The following is a 17675-nucleotide window of genomic DNA, read 5'->3' on the forward strand; positions in this document are numbered from 1 at the left end:
CAGAAACTTCTGGATGGCACATTTGTCTCTAGACAATGGTGACCAACAGGGTGAAGTGGAAGGGGAAAATGGGTGTGTACATTAAATATTGCACGTCACATTTTACCTAACCGATTTGAGGGCATTTGATTGTTTTCTTTTCTTTTTTTTTTTTTTTTTTTTTTGAAGGGTCACGCTCTGTCACCCAAGCTGGAGTGCAGTCGTGTGATCATAGCTCATTGCAGCCTCAATCTCCTGGGCTCAAGTGATCCCCCTGCCTCAGCCTCCCAAGTAGTTATGACTGCAGGCACACGCCACCACACCTGGCTATTTTTTTTTTTTTTTATTTTTTGTAGAGGCAAGGTCTTGTTTTGTTGCCCAGGCCGGTCTCAAACTCCTGGCCTCAAGTAATCCTCCCACCTTGGCCTCCCAAAGCACTAGGATTATAGGTGTGAGCCAATGCACCCAGTCATGTTTCCAATTTTTGATCTTATAAGCAAGGGTATGAATTTTGTTTGTGTGCAGGTGGAGTTTTTTCCCAAAAATTTTCCATACATCCATGCTTACTTCCTTAGGATAAATTTTGAGAAGTAGAATACCTAGTTAAAAGAGTGTGACTATTCTTCTAGTATTGACATAAGCTATGTAGGCACAAAAGGCAATCCTAGTTTTACTATAAATTTACTTTTTCTGATGCCTGTGAGTAATCATATGATCACGATTACTGTACATCCTAGCCTCATTGAATTCTTCATCCACGTAAGAGTTAAACAATTCCTTAAAGAGGAAGTTAAAGTGAGTCTAGTCAGGAGGTGTTGAAATGACAGAAATTCTAGGGTTAGAACAAAATGAAGGGAAATGGGTTTGAGAGGAGTGAAGGGTATAAAGGCAGTCAGACATCCAGCAAACAAATTACTCCTCTGGTTCACTCCTCCTGAACTGAACCTCTTCTTTACAACGAAATGATGCTCAAGGTATTGTAGCATTTTATGTGACTTACTTAAATTGCTTTTCTAGCAGACTTCTTCCTTCCTCAATTTCTTCAGTTGCCCTCTCCTTTTAAGAACTACCTGCTTCTGCTTTAACTTTTCTTTCAACCTGTGGGCTACCTAATTAACTGCATGGTGGCTTTCATTACTGTTTTACAAATGAGATACATGATTCTATTGTACAAAGTTAGGAAGGGAATGAATTATGACAAGTTCATTGAATTTTAACCCCCTAGTTTTATGTGTCCATTATGACGCTGCCAGATTGCATTTCTGTTAATCTATTTACTGTCACCACCTTCTGTATAAGATAAGCTTTTTGAGGCAGGAACCATCCAGTATTGACTTGGCAGTCTTGAGAGCTTAGAACAGTGCTGGACTCATAGTAAGAACTTGTGGGCCGGGCACAGTGGCTCAGGCCTGTAATCCCAGCACTTTGGGAGGCCGAGGCGGATGGATCACGAGATCAGGGGAGATCGACACCATGCTCGCTAACTCGGTAAAACCCGGTCTCTACTAAGAATACAAAAAATTAGCTGGGCGTGGTGGCAGGCGCCCGTAGTCCCAGCTACTCGGGAGGCTGAGGCAGGAGAATGGCGTGAACCCGGGAGGTGGAGCTTGCAGTGAGCCGAGATCGTGTCACTGTACTCCAGCCTAGCGACAGAGCGAGACTCCGTCTTGAAAAAAAAAAATTGTGAAATTGATTTGTTCAGTGGCTTTATGTTATTCTTTAACTTAAATAATCACTGTATTTAACTAAACAGAGATGCAAATGCCATGAGAAGGTCAAGCAGATCAGAAGATATTTTGGAAATAGATGAACGCAAGGACCACAGACAGCTGAGCAGCTGTGTGTTTATTCCCCTCACGTTTCGTTCCTTCAGGGGCCAGGGACAGCCATGTGTTCTTTGGCACACAGGGTGCTGTTCAGGACTTCCAGAGGATTCCAGGGCTCCACCTTCCTGTATCACCAGCAGCACGGTCTCATATGGATGGATGGTGCAAGTACCTCCAGGGCTCCATGTCACCACCCCACCTCCCCCACTGCTCCCCAGTCTCACATTCCTCCATAAGACACCCCTGGGTCAGATCTAGCCCTGAAGAGATGAATGATCAATCACTACATGCCCCCAGCTGTGGGGTTTGTGGGGGTGAGAAGAGAGGTTTAAAAGAGGTAGTTTTGCTTAGAGTCAGGGATCCAATCAATATTTGAAACTCTTAAGTTTAAACCCTTTCTTCCTCTCTCTTTCTGCCCCTAAAAATATTTTAACTGCAATTTCTAGCAGCGTGAAAATCAACATTATTGTTATTCTTCCACCCTAATCTGAAACCTTTGTGCCACCATCCTTTCTCTCTCCCAGCCATCTTCTCTCCTGCTTTCGCCCACCCCATACACCCCTCCACCTTTCTATCAAAGCCCTCAGAGACATAAAAAATAGCCCATCCTTTTGAAAATGGCAAGTGTTCCTTGACTTGATAAACCTGACATGAGGCTCTGTAAATGGGACTAGTCAGTGTCCAGGTTGAAGGACGTTCAGCTAGGCACGGGTTCCATCTCTGTAGCTCTGTCCTGGCACTGAGCTCAGTATCAAAGAACCCCAGATACCCCAGGTCCCCTAATCCAATAGCCCCTCACCCTACAGCTAAGATTTAAAAATGAAGTATCTGATGTTGAGAGAGACAAATTAAGTTGTGCAATGATGTAGTAACCAGAACAAGAAAGGGAAGCAATCCAATATTCACTAGGTGGTGAGCAGATAGTGAAACCTGACTTAAGAGTGGATGTTTTTAACTCTACATAATAGATGCTCTCTTGTGAAAATGTGTAGAAAACAAAATAACAGTCTACATATTGAAGAATTTGAATTTTAAAAGAATTGCAGAGTACTCCACTGCTTATGAAATTCAAGTAATCTTACATGTTTTTCTTATCTAGCTTATGGGTAGAAGCAGAATGAGCTTCTCCAGTGGGATGAACACAGACACTTCATATTCAACAAGTTCACACTGAGCCCATCATCATTGCTTGGAAGGCTGCTCCTCTTCCTGTGTTCTCTCTCTTGGCCAATGGCACTGCCATTTCCCCATCCAGAACCTGGGATACTGCAGCAGTCTTTTCACTGCCCCTGTCTACCCCTCTCCAATCCATTCTCTACACAACTGCCTACAGGAATCTTTCCAAAACATTAGTTCTGACCATAACTCTACTTTTCTTAAGACAGCACTTTGGCTCCCCATTGACATCACAGTCTTTAGAGTGATGTAATGTTCATCATTCGGTCATAAGCTGCAAATCCATTCTCCTTCTCACCTCTGTCTCCTGCATGCAACTCCACAGCTGAAAGGAGCCAAACTCCCTCCACTCTCTCACACCTCCCAGCCTTGGCCCTTGCTTCCACTTCTACCTTTACCCTCCATTCTCATCACCCTACACTATTATCTGATGACTACTCTTAAGTTTTCATAACCAGATCAAGTATCGATGTCTCCACCAACAGGGAAGAGCAGGCAGTGGTTCTCAAGTCACATATGTAATTTAAAATTTTCTAGTATTTTAAATTTTAGAAAATGTTTAGAAGAAACTGATCAATTAATAACATGTTTTATTTACACCATATCCCATATATTATTATGTTGATATCAATATATTGAATTTTTTTTATTAAGATGAGAGGAGTCTCACTCTGTTGCCCAGGCGGGAGTGCGGTGGCATGATCTCAGCTCACTGCAACCTCCGCCTCCCAGGTTCAAGCAATTCTCCCACCTCAGCTTCCTGAGTAGCTGGGATTACAGGTACCCACCACCACACCCGGCTAATTTTTGTATTTTTAGTAGAGATGGGGTTTTGCCACCTTGGCCAGGCTGTTCTTGAACTGCTGACCTCAAGTGATCCATCTGCCTTGGTCTCCCAAAGTGCTGGGATTACGGGCATGAGCCACCACACCTGGTCAATGAATAGAACATTGATTCAGCATGCAATCAATATTTTTAAATTATTGAGATGCTTTATATCCTTTTTTTCCTACTAAGCTTTCAAAAATCAGTCTTTATTTTACTCTTATGACACATCTCAATTTGCTGCATTTCAAGTGCTCAGTAGCCACATTAGGGAGTAGCTGCCATATTGTACGTAAGAGCACCAGAGCACTTGAGAGCCTCCTAGAGATCCTAATGAAAACAGAATCCTGTGCTATGCTTCCAGAGGTTCCATTTCTGGGGAGAGTCTAATTTTGGTGGTCTGGAGTGGGGACCAGAAATGTTCCTTTTCAGCAAGAACCCCAGGCAGTTCTGAGGTACATGTTCGTCTGACCATTTGGGACTTGATAGCTAGATGCACTGATTGTCGAGTTACACCTATAGGGGTTTATGTTCAGATTCCACCACCTAAAAGCTGTGAAAATTAGTAACTTCAGTTCTCTAGGTCTCAGTCTCCTCACCTGCAAAAATAACTACCTAGAGACTTGTGGGTATTAAAAGGGTAATATATTTGAGACATTCAGCACAGTGCCTGGCAGGTGTCTCATAATAGCAGCTGTGCACTGCACCCGCAGAAATCTCTATCACACAGACGAGGTGTCCCTTGCATCCTCCTCCCACAACTCTCTGTGCTTCCCTCCACCACCACCCATCACGCAATGCTGTGTCCTGTGCTTGCTATGCTGCCCCTCAACTCAACTGAGAAGATAAACTGGCTGCTGTGTGCTCCCACATTACTCTGCCTCACACATAGTAGGTGCTTAGTACACATCTTTTTTTTTTTAGAAATTAAACTAAATCTGAGCAACTGGGTTTCTTGTAGTGGAGCAAAACTCTTTATGCAAAAGTGCCTCAAGGTGTCTTATAGAACAGAAGTGTGTAAGTAAAGTGGGGTGTATCCCTGTCCTAACACTCTTCCCTTTAAAGTCTATCACAGAAAGCTTTGCCACAGCAATCCATGGCTTGAAAGTGGGACACCTGACAGATCGTGTTATTCAGAGGAGCAAGAGGATGATTCTAGACACTCTGGGTGCTGGGTTCCTGGGAACCACTACGGAAGTGTTTCACATAGCCAGCCAATATAGCAAGGTAAGAAGCTCAAGGTCTACATTAGAGATAAAACCCAGTGCATACATATGTGTTACATTTACTCTATACTTCGTTTTATAGACAGCACTTGATGTACATAGCACTGTTCTATATCATTTTTATAATTTCCTATGTTCCATTATCTGAGTTTTAATAGTCATCCATATTCTTTACTAAGTCACTGTCTTAAAACCATACACAGTGAGGCACAGTGGCTCATATCTGTAATCCCAGCACTACCAGAGGCCAAGGTGGGCAGACGGTTTGAGCCTAGGAATTTGAGACCAGCCTTGGCAACATGGCAAAGACCCATTTCTACAAAAACAAAAAACATAAAAATTAGCCAGGTGTGATAGCACACGCCTATAGTCCCAGCTACTCGGGAGGCTGAGAGGTGGGAGGATCACTTGAGCCTGAGAGGTTGGGGTTGTAGTAAGTCAAGATCATGCCACTGCACTCCAGCCAAGGCAACAGAGCATGACCTTGTCTTAAAAACAAACAAACAAATAAACAGAAAAAAAATATGCTAATAATATCTCACAGTTTATTATTATTATTCTCTGGAGAAAAGCCTGGTCAAGTACTCTGAGCAGAGTGGGGATGTATGTGAGAGCTCCTGCTCTCCCTAGGGTGTATTAGAGATAAACAGTTAGTCCATCTTCCCTGGTATTTACCCCAAGGAGTAAATAAGAGTAACTTCAGATGTGCTTCCTTGGAGCACTTCCGGATCATGATCTAGGATCAAGCAACGACATCTCCTCCCCCTTTCACAGGGGAGAGCTGTGTATTCTACAAGGATGAGAGGTATTCAATGACTAGGGCTTCTATCTGTGGCAAAGGTTCAAGTAAGAACTATGAATAATGCCTCCAAAGATGAAGAATAACTCTTGAAATGGTGACTTGGTATACTGTATTCACACTATCACTGGTTGATTTGCTTTTGTTCCAGATCTACAGTTCCAACATATCCAGCACTGTTTGGGGTCAGCCAGACATCAGGCTCCCGCCCACATATGCTGCTTTTGTGAACGGTGTGGCTGTAAGGAGGTTTTCACGTCTTTTCAACTATTAGATAATCATAATAATTTTAGAGTCAGGAAATATCTCAGAAATTGCCCAAATTCTATATTTTACAGATGAAAGAACTGAAAGTCAGACAGATAAAGTGGCTTACCCTCTCTCCTATGTAGTAATTCAGTTTTCATGTTTTTACAGTAAATTGATGCTTTTCAAACAGATTGTGTAGCAGAGGAAAGAAGATGGAAGGATTTAGATAAAAACACCCTAAGGTATCCCAATTCAAAACCTTGAATATAAATAGCAAAAAAATATAAAACCCATATCCAGACCTAATATCTTCTGTTTTTCCTGTTGTGGGGCCAGTTTCTCTCAAGTAATGTGTTCTTTATTCATTCACTCATTCATCCATTCAACAGATAGTTATTGAGAAAGGAACAATGGCCTTATAGTGTCTGTATTTTCTGAACCAAAAATCTGTACTTCTCATCTGACAGATGATTTTTATGCTTTTTCTGTGTGTCACGGGAAATATTCTACAAGATGTAACTTGGAAACAGACATGTTGGGATTTCCGAGATATTTTTATGATTTATGGGTACAATAGCTCAGGAGATTGAAAGTTAAAGCCAACGGTGCATTCCAAAGCAATGTCCTGAAAGCAGTGGGAAATGCACCAGTGACAGCAAATAGATATAAAAATCTATTTTTAAATGAACTTCTGGATATTACTGTTTTAATATAAAGAAAAAGAAAATGGCTAGGAGAAAGAGGAATAAGATCTTAAAGCAGAAAATAATGATTTTTAAAATATATAGCTGAAAAGTTAATCTGAGTTTGACAGTTATTGTGCTATTCTTACAACTTCTCTAAAAGTTTGAAATTATTTCATAATAAAAAGGTACAAAAACGTATGGCCTCATATGGAATAAATGACATTAAACTTGCAGTGCAACTTATTTAAAGGGTGGAGGAGGAATTGCCAGCCACCTGATTCTGCAGCTTTGTTTTTAAAAGGGAATATAGATCTTTCCAGGGGCCACAGCAGAGGGAGCTCAGGCCACCAGGGCAAGACCCAAGCTCCTTGGGGCTCACAAGCTGCTCTCCAAGGTACTCCCTTCCTCTGGCAGAGGAACAGCATTTCCCAGTGCCCGGCCATGTGATTAATAATCACAGCCAGGCCAGGTGTGGTGGCTCACGCCTGTAATCCTAGCACTTTGGGAGGCTGAGGCGGGCGGATAACGAGGTCAGGAGTTTGAGACCACCCTGGCCAACATAGTGAAACTCCGTCTCTACTAAAAATACAAAAATTAGCCAGGTGCGGTGGTGGGCACCTGTTATCCCAGCTGCTCCAGAGGCTGAGGCAGGAGAATTGCTTGAACCCAGGAGGCAGAGGTTGCAGTGAGCCAGGATCATGCCACTGCACTCCAGCCTAGGTGACAGAGCAAGACTCTGTCTCAAAAAAAAAAAAAAAAAAAAAAAAAAGAAAAAAAATCACAGACATTTCTCAGATTTTCTTTTCTGAGAATCAGATCAAAAGAATCTCACATAAAACAAGGTTATTACTAAACTAAGTCCTTAGTGGTCCAAAAGCCATTGCATTAAGGGAAAATTTAAGGCTTTTTGTTGCTGTTTGTGTCTGTTTATACAGATTCACTCCATGGATTTTGATGACACGTGGCACCCTGCCACCCACCCTTCTGGGGCTGTCCTTCCTGTCCTCACAGCTTTAGCAGAAGCCCTGCCAAGGAGTCCAAAGTTTTCTGGCCTTGACCTGCTGCTGGCTTTCAATGTTGGTATTGAAGTGCAAGGCCGATTACTGCATTTCGCCAAGGAGGCCAATGACATGCCAAAGAGGTATGGAGAGAATTTGCCCCATCAAAAGGTAGTCACATCCCCTTCATCTATCAATCATTATCTCCGTAGAGCTTTCTGACTTAGAGGCCGGTTCAGAGGAAGATGTTAACATTAGCACAGGTAGATAAGTCAATACACCAGTCACATACGAAACCCTCTATCCACATTTAAAGAAGTGACTTCAAGAGTGCAACCTGGACCGTGAGATTAATTGGGCCTCTCGTTGCAAGGTGATTCATGTCATTCTGGCATTCATGGGTGTACTGAGTATTCCTTATTTCATTCTCAAAGCAGAATCTATTCTGAGACTAGCTAGCGTCCCTCAGACTAATGAGGACATTCAGAATATCCTTACTCTGACTGTTCATCCTGCAGATAAAAAATGGTCAAATGTCGGCCACATCATATGGCTCAGTCTCAGATTTATGTTGCCACTTGCTCCAGCCTGCCAGGAGAGAAGTAAATTGAAATACTAGGTAGTGAAGTTTCAGTTTCTTCAAGGCCCACAATTCTCACAGTGACTTAGATGAGATCTCAGCAATCAATAGCTGTTGCCTTTCTGGCAATAATTGTAATGGTACCATTTATAAAGAACTCACTATGTGCTAGCACTATTGTAAACATGTTAATTTATTCAAAGCTCCTAAAACTCTAAGAGGTAGATGTTATTATTATCACCATTTTATTTTATTTTTTGAGATGGAGTCTCGCTCTGTTGCCAGGCTGGAGTGCAGTGGTGTAATCTTGGCTCATTGCAACCTCCGCCTCCTGGGTTCAAGTGATTCTCCTGCCTCAGCCTCCCAAGTAGCTGGGACTACAGGCATGCACCACCATGCCCAGCTAATTTTTGTATTTTTAGTAGAGACGGGGTTTCGTCATGTTGGCCAGGATGGTCTCGAGCTCTTGACCTTGTGATCTGCCTGCCTCAGCCTCCCAAAGTGCTGGGATTACAGGCGTGAGCCATCGTGCCCGGCCTTATTATTATTATTTTTATTATTATATTTTTTTGAGACAGTCTCACTCTGTCACCTAGGCTGGAGTGCAGCAGCATGATCTCAGCTCACTGCAGCGTCTGCCTCCCAGGTTCAAGGGATTCTCCTGCCTCAGTCTCCCAAGTAGCTGGGACTGCAGGCACCCACCACCACATCCGGCAAATTTTTGTATTTTTAGTAGAGTCAGTGTTTTGCCATGTTGGCCAACCTAGTCTCAAACTCCTGACCTCAGATGACCCTCCCACCTTGGCCTCCCAAAGTCCTGGGATTACAGGCATGAACCACCACACCTCGCCTATCACCATTTTGTGTAAGAAAAACTCTACAGAGAAGTTGAATAATTTTCCCCAGATCATATAGCTAATAAAGTAATGGAGCTGAGATCTGAACCCAGACAGTGTGACTCCATTATCAATGTTCTTGATGACTACGCTATCCTGCCTCCTGGTGGTTACGGTTTGTACATCTCCAACTCTGCTTCTTTGCTTTTCAGATTCCATCCCCCTTCCGTGGTAGGAACGTTGGGTAGTGCTGCTGCTGCATCCAAGTTTTTAGGACTTAGCTCGACAAAGTGCCGAGAAGCTCTGGCCATTGCTGTTTCCCATGCTGGGGCACCCATGGCCAATGCTGCCACCCAGACCAAGCCCCTCCACATTGGCAATGCTGCCAAGCATGGGATAGAAGCTGCATTTTTGGCAATGTTGGGTCTCCAAGGAAACAAGCAGGTCTTGGACTTGGAGGCAGGATTTGGGGCCTTTTATGCCAACTATTCCCCAAAAGTCCTTCCAAGCATAGCTTCCTACAGTTGGCTGCTGGACCAGCAGGACGTGGCCTTTAAGCGTTTTCCTGCACATTTATCTACCCACTGGGTGGCAGACGCAGCTGCATCTGTGAGAAAGCACCTTGTAGCAGAGAGAGCCCTGCTTCCAACTGACTACATTAAGAGAATTGTGCTCAGGATACCAAATGTCCAGTATGTAAACAGGCCCTTTCCAGTTTCGGAGCATGAAGCCCGTCATTCATTCCAGTATGTGGCCTGTGCCATGCTGCTTGATGGTGGCATCACTGTCCCCTCATTCCATGAATGCCAGATCAACAGGCCACAGGTGAGAGAGCTGCTCAGTAAGGTGGAGCTGGAGTACCCTCCGGACAACTTGCCAAGCTTCAACATACTGTACTGTGAAATAAGTGTCACCCTCAAGGATGGAGCCACCTTCACAGATCGCTCTGATACCTTCTATGGGCACTGGAGAAAACCACTGAGCCAGGAGGACCTAGAGGAAAAGTTCAGAGCCAATGCCTCCAAGATGCTGTCCTGGGACACAGTGGAAAGCCTTATAAAGATAGTCAAAAATCTAGAAGACCTAGAAGACTGTTCTGTGTTAACTACACTTCTCAAAGGACCCTCTCCACCAGAGGTAGCTTCAAACTCTCCAGCATGTAATAATTCTATCACAAATCTCTCCTGAGGCTTACCAACATCTAAATGACTTTGCATTTGGGGAGATTCAATGATTTGGTTTGTAAAGCAAGGGTCTGCTGCTTGGTTTTCCCAGGAAAAATGAACAAAGATGGAGAGAGTCCAGAAACAGAACTACATATATCTGGAAGGAGCCTTCTCCTGAAAATTTTGCAGGACAGTTCCACTTACCTAAATCAAGATGAAACACACACACAAAAATGAGTTTGTAAGCATTCACAAGGGTGAAATTCAACTCACCTGTGATTTACTTATAAAATTAATCTCTTCATAGGAATTATGTGTGGACTTCATGAGCCTCAAGGTTTTAGAGGGATGTGAACCTGCATGTATATTTTCTGACAGTGGAGAGGGCTCTGGTGCATTGTGTCACCAACAGATCTCCTAGACCATGGCTTATTACCAAGCCCTCCACAGTGCAAGGGGTGCTACTGGGGAATGGGTGGGTTTAAATCCTGCCTCTGCCATTCACTAGATGTAGCCTTGAGCATGTTACCATTAGCCCTCTGCCTCAGTTTCCCTATTTGTCAAGCCGAAGTAAAAAGCAGTCTGGAAAAATCGCATTTTGGCTCTAGAACCCATGGTCTTAAGCACTGCAATATATCACCTTTCAGTATAAAAATATTTGAATCAGAGTTGCAATAAAGAATGAAAAGGAAAAAAGAGAAGTAAATACGTGAGTAATTATATAAATACTAAACTGTATTAAAATAATAGAAGTGTCATGGGGGTTAAAAATGCAACACTAACAATCATAGTTAATGTGTTACAAATCCCTGGTATTGTTCAATAAAAGGGCAACCTATTAACTCTAGATGTTGATTAATAAGTATGCTGTATTAGTCCGTTCTCATGCTGCTATAATGAACTGCCCAAGACTGGGTAATTTACAAAGGAAAGAGGTTTAATTGACTCACAGTTCCACATGACAGAGGAGGCCTCAAGAAACTTAGAATCATGCCAGAAGGAGAAGCAAACACGTCCTTCTTCATATGAAGGAGAAGTGCTTCCTTCATAGGAAGGAGAAGTGCTGAGCAGAAGGCAGGAAAGCTCCCTATAAACCGTCAGATTTCAGGAGAACTTACTATCATAAGAATAGAAGCATGAAAGTAACTGGCACCATGGTTCAATTACCTCCCACCAGGTCCCTCCCACAACACATGGGGATTATGGAAACTATAATTCAAGATGACATTTGGGTGGGGACACGGTCATACCAAATCATTCTGCCTCTGGCCCCTCCCAAACATCATGTCTTCACATTTCAAAGCACAATCATGCCTTCCCTACAGTCCCTGAAAGTCTTAACTCATTCCAGCATCAAGGCAAAAGTCTAACTCCAAAGTCTCATCTGAGACAAGGCAAGTCCCTTCTGCCTATGGACCTGTAAAATCAAAAGCAAGTTAGTTACTTCCTAGATACAATGGGGGTAAAAGCACTGGGTAAATACATCCATTCCAAATGGGAGAAATTGGCCAAAACAAAGGGGCTACAGCCCCCATGCAAATCCAAAACCCAGCGGGGCAGTCAAATCTTAAAGCTCCAAAATGACATCCTTTGACTCCATGTCTCACATCCAGGTCATTCTGATACAAGAGGTGGGACTCCCATGGCCTTGGGCAGCTGTGTCCCTGTGGTTTTGCAGGGTACAGCCCCCTCCTCCCAGCTTCCTTCACAGGCTGGCATTGAGTGTCCACAGCTTTTCCAGGCACATATTGCAAGCCGTCGGTGGATCTACCATTCTGGAGTCTGGAGGACAGTGGCCCTCTTCTCACAGCTCCACTAGGCAGTGCCCCAGTGGGGACTTTCTGTGGGGGCTGCAGTCCCACATTTCCCTTCTGCACTGCCCAAGCAGAGGTTCTACATGAGGGCTCCACCCCTGCTGCAAACTTCTGCCTGGACATCCAGGCATTTCCATACATCCTCTGAAATCTAGAAGGAGGTTCTCAAACCTCAATTCTTGACTTCTGTGCACCCACAGGCTCAAAACCACATGGAAGCTGCCAAGACTTGGGGCTTACACCCCTTGAAGCCATGGCCTGAGCTGTACCTTGGCCCATTTTAGCCTCATCTGGGATGCAGGGAACCAAGTAAGCCCTGAGACTGTAGAAAGCAGCAAGGCCCTGGGCCCAGCCAATGAAACTATTTTTCTCTCCTAGGCCTCTGGGCCTGTGTTGGGAGGCACTGCTGTGAAGAGTTCTCACATGTCCTGCAGACATTTTCCCCATTGTCTTGGTGATCAACATTTGGCTCCGTGTTACTTATGTGAATTTCTACTGATGGCTTGAATTTCTTCTCAGAAAATGGGTTTTTCTCTTCCATCACATCATCAAGATGCAAATTTTCTGAACTTTCATGCTCTGCTTCTCTTTTAAACACAAGTTTCAATTCCAAACCATATCTTTGTGAATACATAAAATAGGATGCTTTTAACAGCACCTAAGTCACCTCTTGAATGCTTTGCTGCTTAGAAATTTCTCCCACCAGATACCCTAAATCTTCCCTCAAGTTCAAAGTTCCACAGATCTCTATGGCAGGGGCAAAACGCCACCAGTCTCTTTGCTAAAACGTAGCAACAGTCACCTTTATTCTAGTTCCCAACAAGTTCCTCATCTCCATCTGAGACCTGGATTCCATTGTCCATATCACTATCATCATTTTGGTCAATGCCATTCAACATGTCTCTGGGAAGTTCCAAACTTTCCCATATCTTTCTGTCTTCTGAGCCCTTCAGACTTTTCCAACCTCTGCCTGTTACCCAGTTCCAAAGTCTCTTCCACATGTTGGGGTATCTTTATAGCAGTACCCCACTCCTAGTACCAATTTACTGTATTAGTCCATTCTCACACTGCTATAAAGAACTGCCCGAGACTGGGTAATTTATAAAGGAAGGGGTTTAACTGACTCACAGTTCCGCTTGACTGGGGAGGTCTCAAGAACTTACAATCACGGCAGAAGGAGAAGCAAACATGTCCTTCTTCACATGATAGCAGGAAGAAGAAAAGCCAAGCAGAAGGGAGAAAAGCCCCTTATAAAATCATCAGATCTCAGGAGAATGCACTCACTAACATAAGAACAGCAGCATGAAAGTAAATTGCATCATAATTCAATTATCTCCCACAGGGTCCCTCCCACAACACATGGGGATTATGGGAACTGCAGTTCAAGATGAGATGTGGGTGGGGAACACAGCCAAACCATATTATATGTCCACTGAAATTTCTAGGATAACCATTCGAGAACAGCAGTAGAATGTACCACTTCCAGGTTAATAGAAGGAGAAAAATTGAATTAGAAAAATATAATCTGGCCAGGCATGGTGGTTCATGCCTGTAATCCCAACACTCTGGGAGGCCAAGGTAGGAGTACTGCTTGAGCCCAGGAGTTTGATGAGACAGTCTGGACAACATAGTGATATTTCATCTCTACAAAAAAAATCAAAAAAATTAGCCAAACATGGTGACACACACTTGTAGTCCCTGCTACTCAGGAGGTTGAAGTTGGAGGATTGCTTGAGCCCCAGAGGCATAGGCTACAGTGAGCCATGATCATGCTGCTGTACTCCAGCGTAGGCAACAGAGCAAGACCCTCAAAAAAAAATCCAAAGGAAGGCAAAAAATGAGGGGGAAAGAAATATAAAAAAGGACATATAAAAAGCACAAAATAAAATGGTAGGAAAAATTCAAATATATCTATAATTACAAAAAGAGTAAATGGACTAAATGTTCCAGTTTAAAAAGACCAAGATTTCCTGAACATATTTTTTAAATGTTTAACAACTTTATTGATGTTTAATTTACATATTAATTCATCCATTTTAAGTGTACGGTTCAGTAAGTTTTAGTAAATTTATAGAGTTGTGCATGCATCACCACAATTCAGTTTTGGAATACTTCCTTTTACTCCAAGAAATTTTCTCATATTATCTGGGATCAATCCCCATTCCCACCTCCAGCCCATAGTAACCAGTGATGTATCTCTATAATTCTGTTGTTTCTAGACATTTCGGACAAATCAAATAATATAATAAGCAGTCATATGTGTTTGCCTTCTTTCACTGGCATAATGGTTTTGAGATTCTTCCACATATGTGTCAGCACTTTTTTGCTTTTCATTGCTGGACAGCTTTCCATTGTAGGGATATGCCAATGTTTGTTTACCCATTCACTAATTAATAGACAGTTGGGTTGCCTCCAGTTTGGGCTATTATGAATAGTGTTTCTATGAGCATTTACGTACAGGTCTTTGTGTGAACATATGTTTCCATTTCTTTTTGATAGATACCTAGGAGTGACTCTGGGTCACTGGGTAAATATATTTTTAACTTTATAAAAAACGATTTTCCAAAGTAGCTCTATCATGTTACGTTTTCTCCAACAATATATGAGGGTTCCAGTTTCTCCTCATACTTACCAAACCTTAGAATTGTCAGTCATTTTTATTTCAGCCATTCTAGTGAGTGTGTAATGTTATCTCATTGTGGTTTTAATTTGCATTTCCCTAATGACTCATTCTCCTCCATTTTTCCAGTTCTTTTTATTGTGTGGTCTTCTTATGGTATGGACGTATACCTGGAATATATAAGAGCTCTTTATATATTCTGGGTATAAATCCTTTATCAGATACATGTTTTGTAAAAATTTTCTCCCACTCTGTGGTTTGTCTTTTCATTTTTTAAAAAAAATTTATCATTCTGGCTTTGGATGTCATCAGAAGACTTTCTAAAATCCAATTATATACTTTATGCAAGACAAATAAAAAATGCAGAAGGGTTGACGGTATAAAAGATGGGGGATATACGGATGGAATATTAACAAAAGAAAACTGGACAAATAAATGTTAGTATTGGACCAAGCATTACTATAAATAGTGTCACTATGTAACGATAAAAAATTCAAATCACCAGCTAACTGAAATAATCCTAACCCTACATGCACCTAAATCATATTGAACTGCAAGAAGAAATCCATCTACCACCATACTGAGAGATTTTTAACATTCCTCTCCTATTAATTGATATTCAAGGAAACCAAAAATAAATGGGCTACATAATATTTAAACACAATCAACATGTTTATACAACAGGAATTCTGTACCCAACAACTAGAGATTTCACAATCTTTTAGAAATCTCATAGAACATTTACAAAAGTGGACTAACACTGAGCCATAATGCCAGTCTCAACAACTTTTCAAAGTACTGGATCATACAGTTATTTTCTCTAATCACAATGCAATTAAGTTAAAGATCAATATTTTAAAAAAGATAATTAGAAAAGCTGCCAGCCGCAGTGGCACACATGTTCGTGCAGTCCTGGCTACTCAGGAGGCTGAGGCAGGAGGATCACTTGACCCCAGGAGATTGTGGCTACAATGAGATATGATGGCACCATTGCACTCCATCCTGGGCAACAAAGTAAGACCCTGTCTGGCCATCAGAGAAATGCAAATCAAAACCACAATGAGATACCATCTCACACCAGTTAGAATGGCAATCATTAAAAAGTCAGGAAACAACAGGTGCTGGAGAGGATGTGGAGAAATAGGAACACTTTTACACTGTTGGTGGGACTGTAAACTAGTTCAACCCTTGTGGAAGTCAGTGTGGCGATTCCTCAGGGATCTAGAACTGGAAATAGCATTTGACTCAGCCATCCCATTACTGGGTATATACCCAAAGGACTATAAATCATGCTGCTATAAAGACACATGCACACGTATGTTTATTGCAGCATTATTCACAATAGCAAAGACTTGGAACCAACCCAAATGTCCAACAATGATAGACTGGATTAAGAAAATGTGGCACATATACACCATGGAATACTATGCAGCCATAAAAAATGATGAGTTCATGTCCTTTGTAGGGACATGGATGAAATTGGAAATCATCATTCTCAGTAAACTATCGCAAGAACAAAAAACCAAACACCGCATATTCTCACTCATAGGTGGGAATTGAACAATGAGATCACATGGACACAGGAAGGGGAATATCACACTCTGGGGACTGTTGTGGGGTAGGGGGAGGGAGGAGGGATAGCATCAGGAGATATACCTAATGCTAGATGACGAGTTAGTGGGTGCAGCACACCAGCATGCACATGTATACATATGTAACTAACCTGCACAATGTGCACATGTACCCTAAAACTTAAAGTATAATAAAAAAAAAGAAAAATAAATAAATAAAATAAAATAATAAAATAAAATGTAATCCAAAAAATAAAAAAGCCTGAAGTATTTGTAAATGAAGACACACAAATTTTTTTTATTTTATATTTTGCATCACAAAATAAATAATGAAAATTATAAAATATTTGGGACTAACCAATGACAAAAATACTACAAATCAGAACTGGTAAGATGTAACTGAAGCAGTACTTTGAAATTACATGTAGAATCGCTGGCTCTCTATTATTACTTGGATTATGCTGTTCCACAGGACACATCACAAATCCCTGATGAATTTGTCTGAACACAGCTGATCAAAGAAAAGGTAAAAGAGGTTTCTTTAATTGTAGCCCTGAGGTAAATTTAATTGTACTTTCTTGATGCATTGCAGACGTTTCTAGGGGCAACATCTAAGGACTATTAATAATATCCTCAGATAAGACCTGACAGATGCCTCAGACCACCAGCAGGGGTTGGGGAAGCCACTCTCTCCTGAGGGGGACAAGAGTACTCAGGGTGACCTTGATGTTGGTCATTATGCCCACTGAGTAAACTGAAGGCAGGAGAATACATCAGGGAAATGTTGGCCTATAGAGAGAGCTGAAGGCTCCTCTTCACTGGCAGGCCACACATATAAATGGGAGAGACAGAGAGGAAGAGAGGGGAGAGAGATCCACTCTCCACATCCTTTCCAGGTGATGATTTCTTTCTTTTTTTCTTTTCTGTTTTTTTTTTTTTTTTTTTTTGAGATGGAGTCTCACTCTGTTGCCCAGGCTGGAGTGCAAAGGCACAATCTCATCTCACTGCAACGTCTGCCTCCTGGGTTCAAGTGATTCTCCTGCCTCAGCCTCCCGAGTAGCTGTGATTACAGGCATGTGCCACCATGCCTGGCTAATTTTCTGTATTTTTTTAGTAGAGATGGGGTTTCGCCATGTTGGCCAGGCTGGTCTCGAACTCCTGACCTCAGGTGATCCACCCACCTTGGCCTCCCAAAGTGCTGGGATTACAAGCAAGAGCCACCGTGCCCGGCTTTTTTTTTTTCCCCAGACAGGGTTTTGCCCTGTTGCCCAGGCTAGAGTGCAGTGGCATGATCATGGCTCACTACAGCCTCAGCTTCCCAGGC

The 17675-nt window shown here is 42.3% G+C and overlaps 1 protein-coding gene and 1 long non-coding RNA gene across 3 annotated transcripts in view; one reads left to right on the top strand and one right to left on the bottom strand.

The window, feature by feature from the left end:
* LOC105370269 (uncharacterized) overlaps positions 1 to 17675 on the bottom strand; it is a 44572-nt gene that overhangs the window by 15462 nt on the left and 11435 nt on the right. The window lies entirely within an intron of this gene.
* On the top strand, positions 894 to 11021 carry ACOD1 (aconitate decarboxylase 1). Of its 2 annotated transcripts, NM_001258406.2 has the most exons (5): positions 894 to 953; positions 4872 to 5033; positions 5983 to 6072; positions 7702 to 7907; positions 9393 to 11021. In NM_001258406.2, the coding sequence occupies exons 1-5, from the start codon at positions 942 to 944 to the stop codon at positions 10366 to 10368; spliced, it is 1446 nt and encodes a 481-aa protein (NP_001245335.1). In that variant the 5' UTR covers positions 894 to 941; the 3' UTR covers positions 10369 to 11021. The 2 variants fall into 2 exon arrangements, with proteins under 2 accessions (NP_001245335.1, XP_047286537.1); XM_047430581.1 differs by lacking the exon at positions 894 to 953 and having other exon boundaries at positions 4856 to 5033.

The sequence above is a fragment of the Homo sapiens genome, chromosome 13 (genome assembly GCF_000001405.40).
Source record: "Homo sapiens chromosome 13, GRCh38.p14 Primary Assembly".
Lineage (NCBI taxonomy): Eukaryota > Metazoa > Chordata > Mammalia > Primates > Hominidae > Homo > Homo sapiens.

Bases quoted from the DNA above. Each gene is read 5' to 3' on its own strand.
- ACOD1 (NM_001258406.2), top strand. The intron at 5,034-5,982 runs GTAAGAAGCTCA...CTTTTGTTCCAG, and splicing joins TAGCCAGCCAATATAGCAAG to ATCTACAGTTCCAACATATC. The intron at 6,073-7,701 runs GTAAGGAGGTTT...CTGTTTATACAG, and splicing joins CTTTTGTGAACGGTGTGGCT to ATTCACTCCATGGATTTTGA.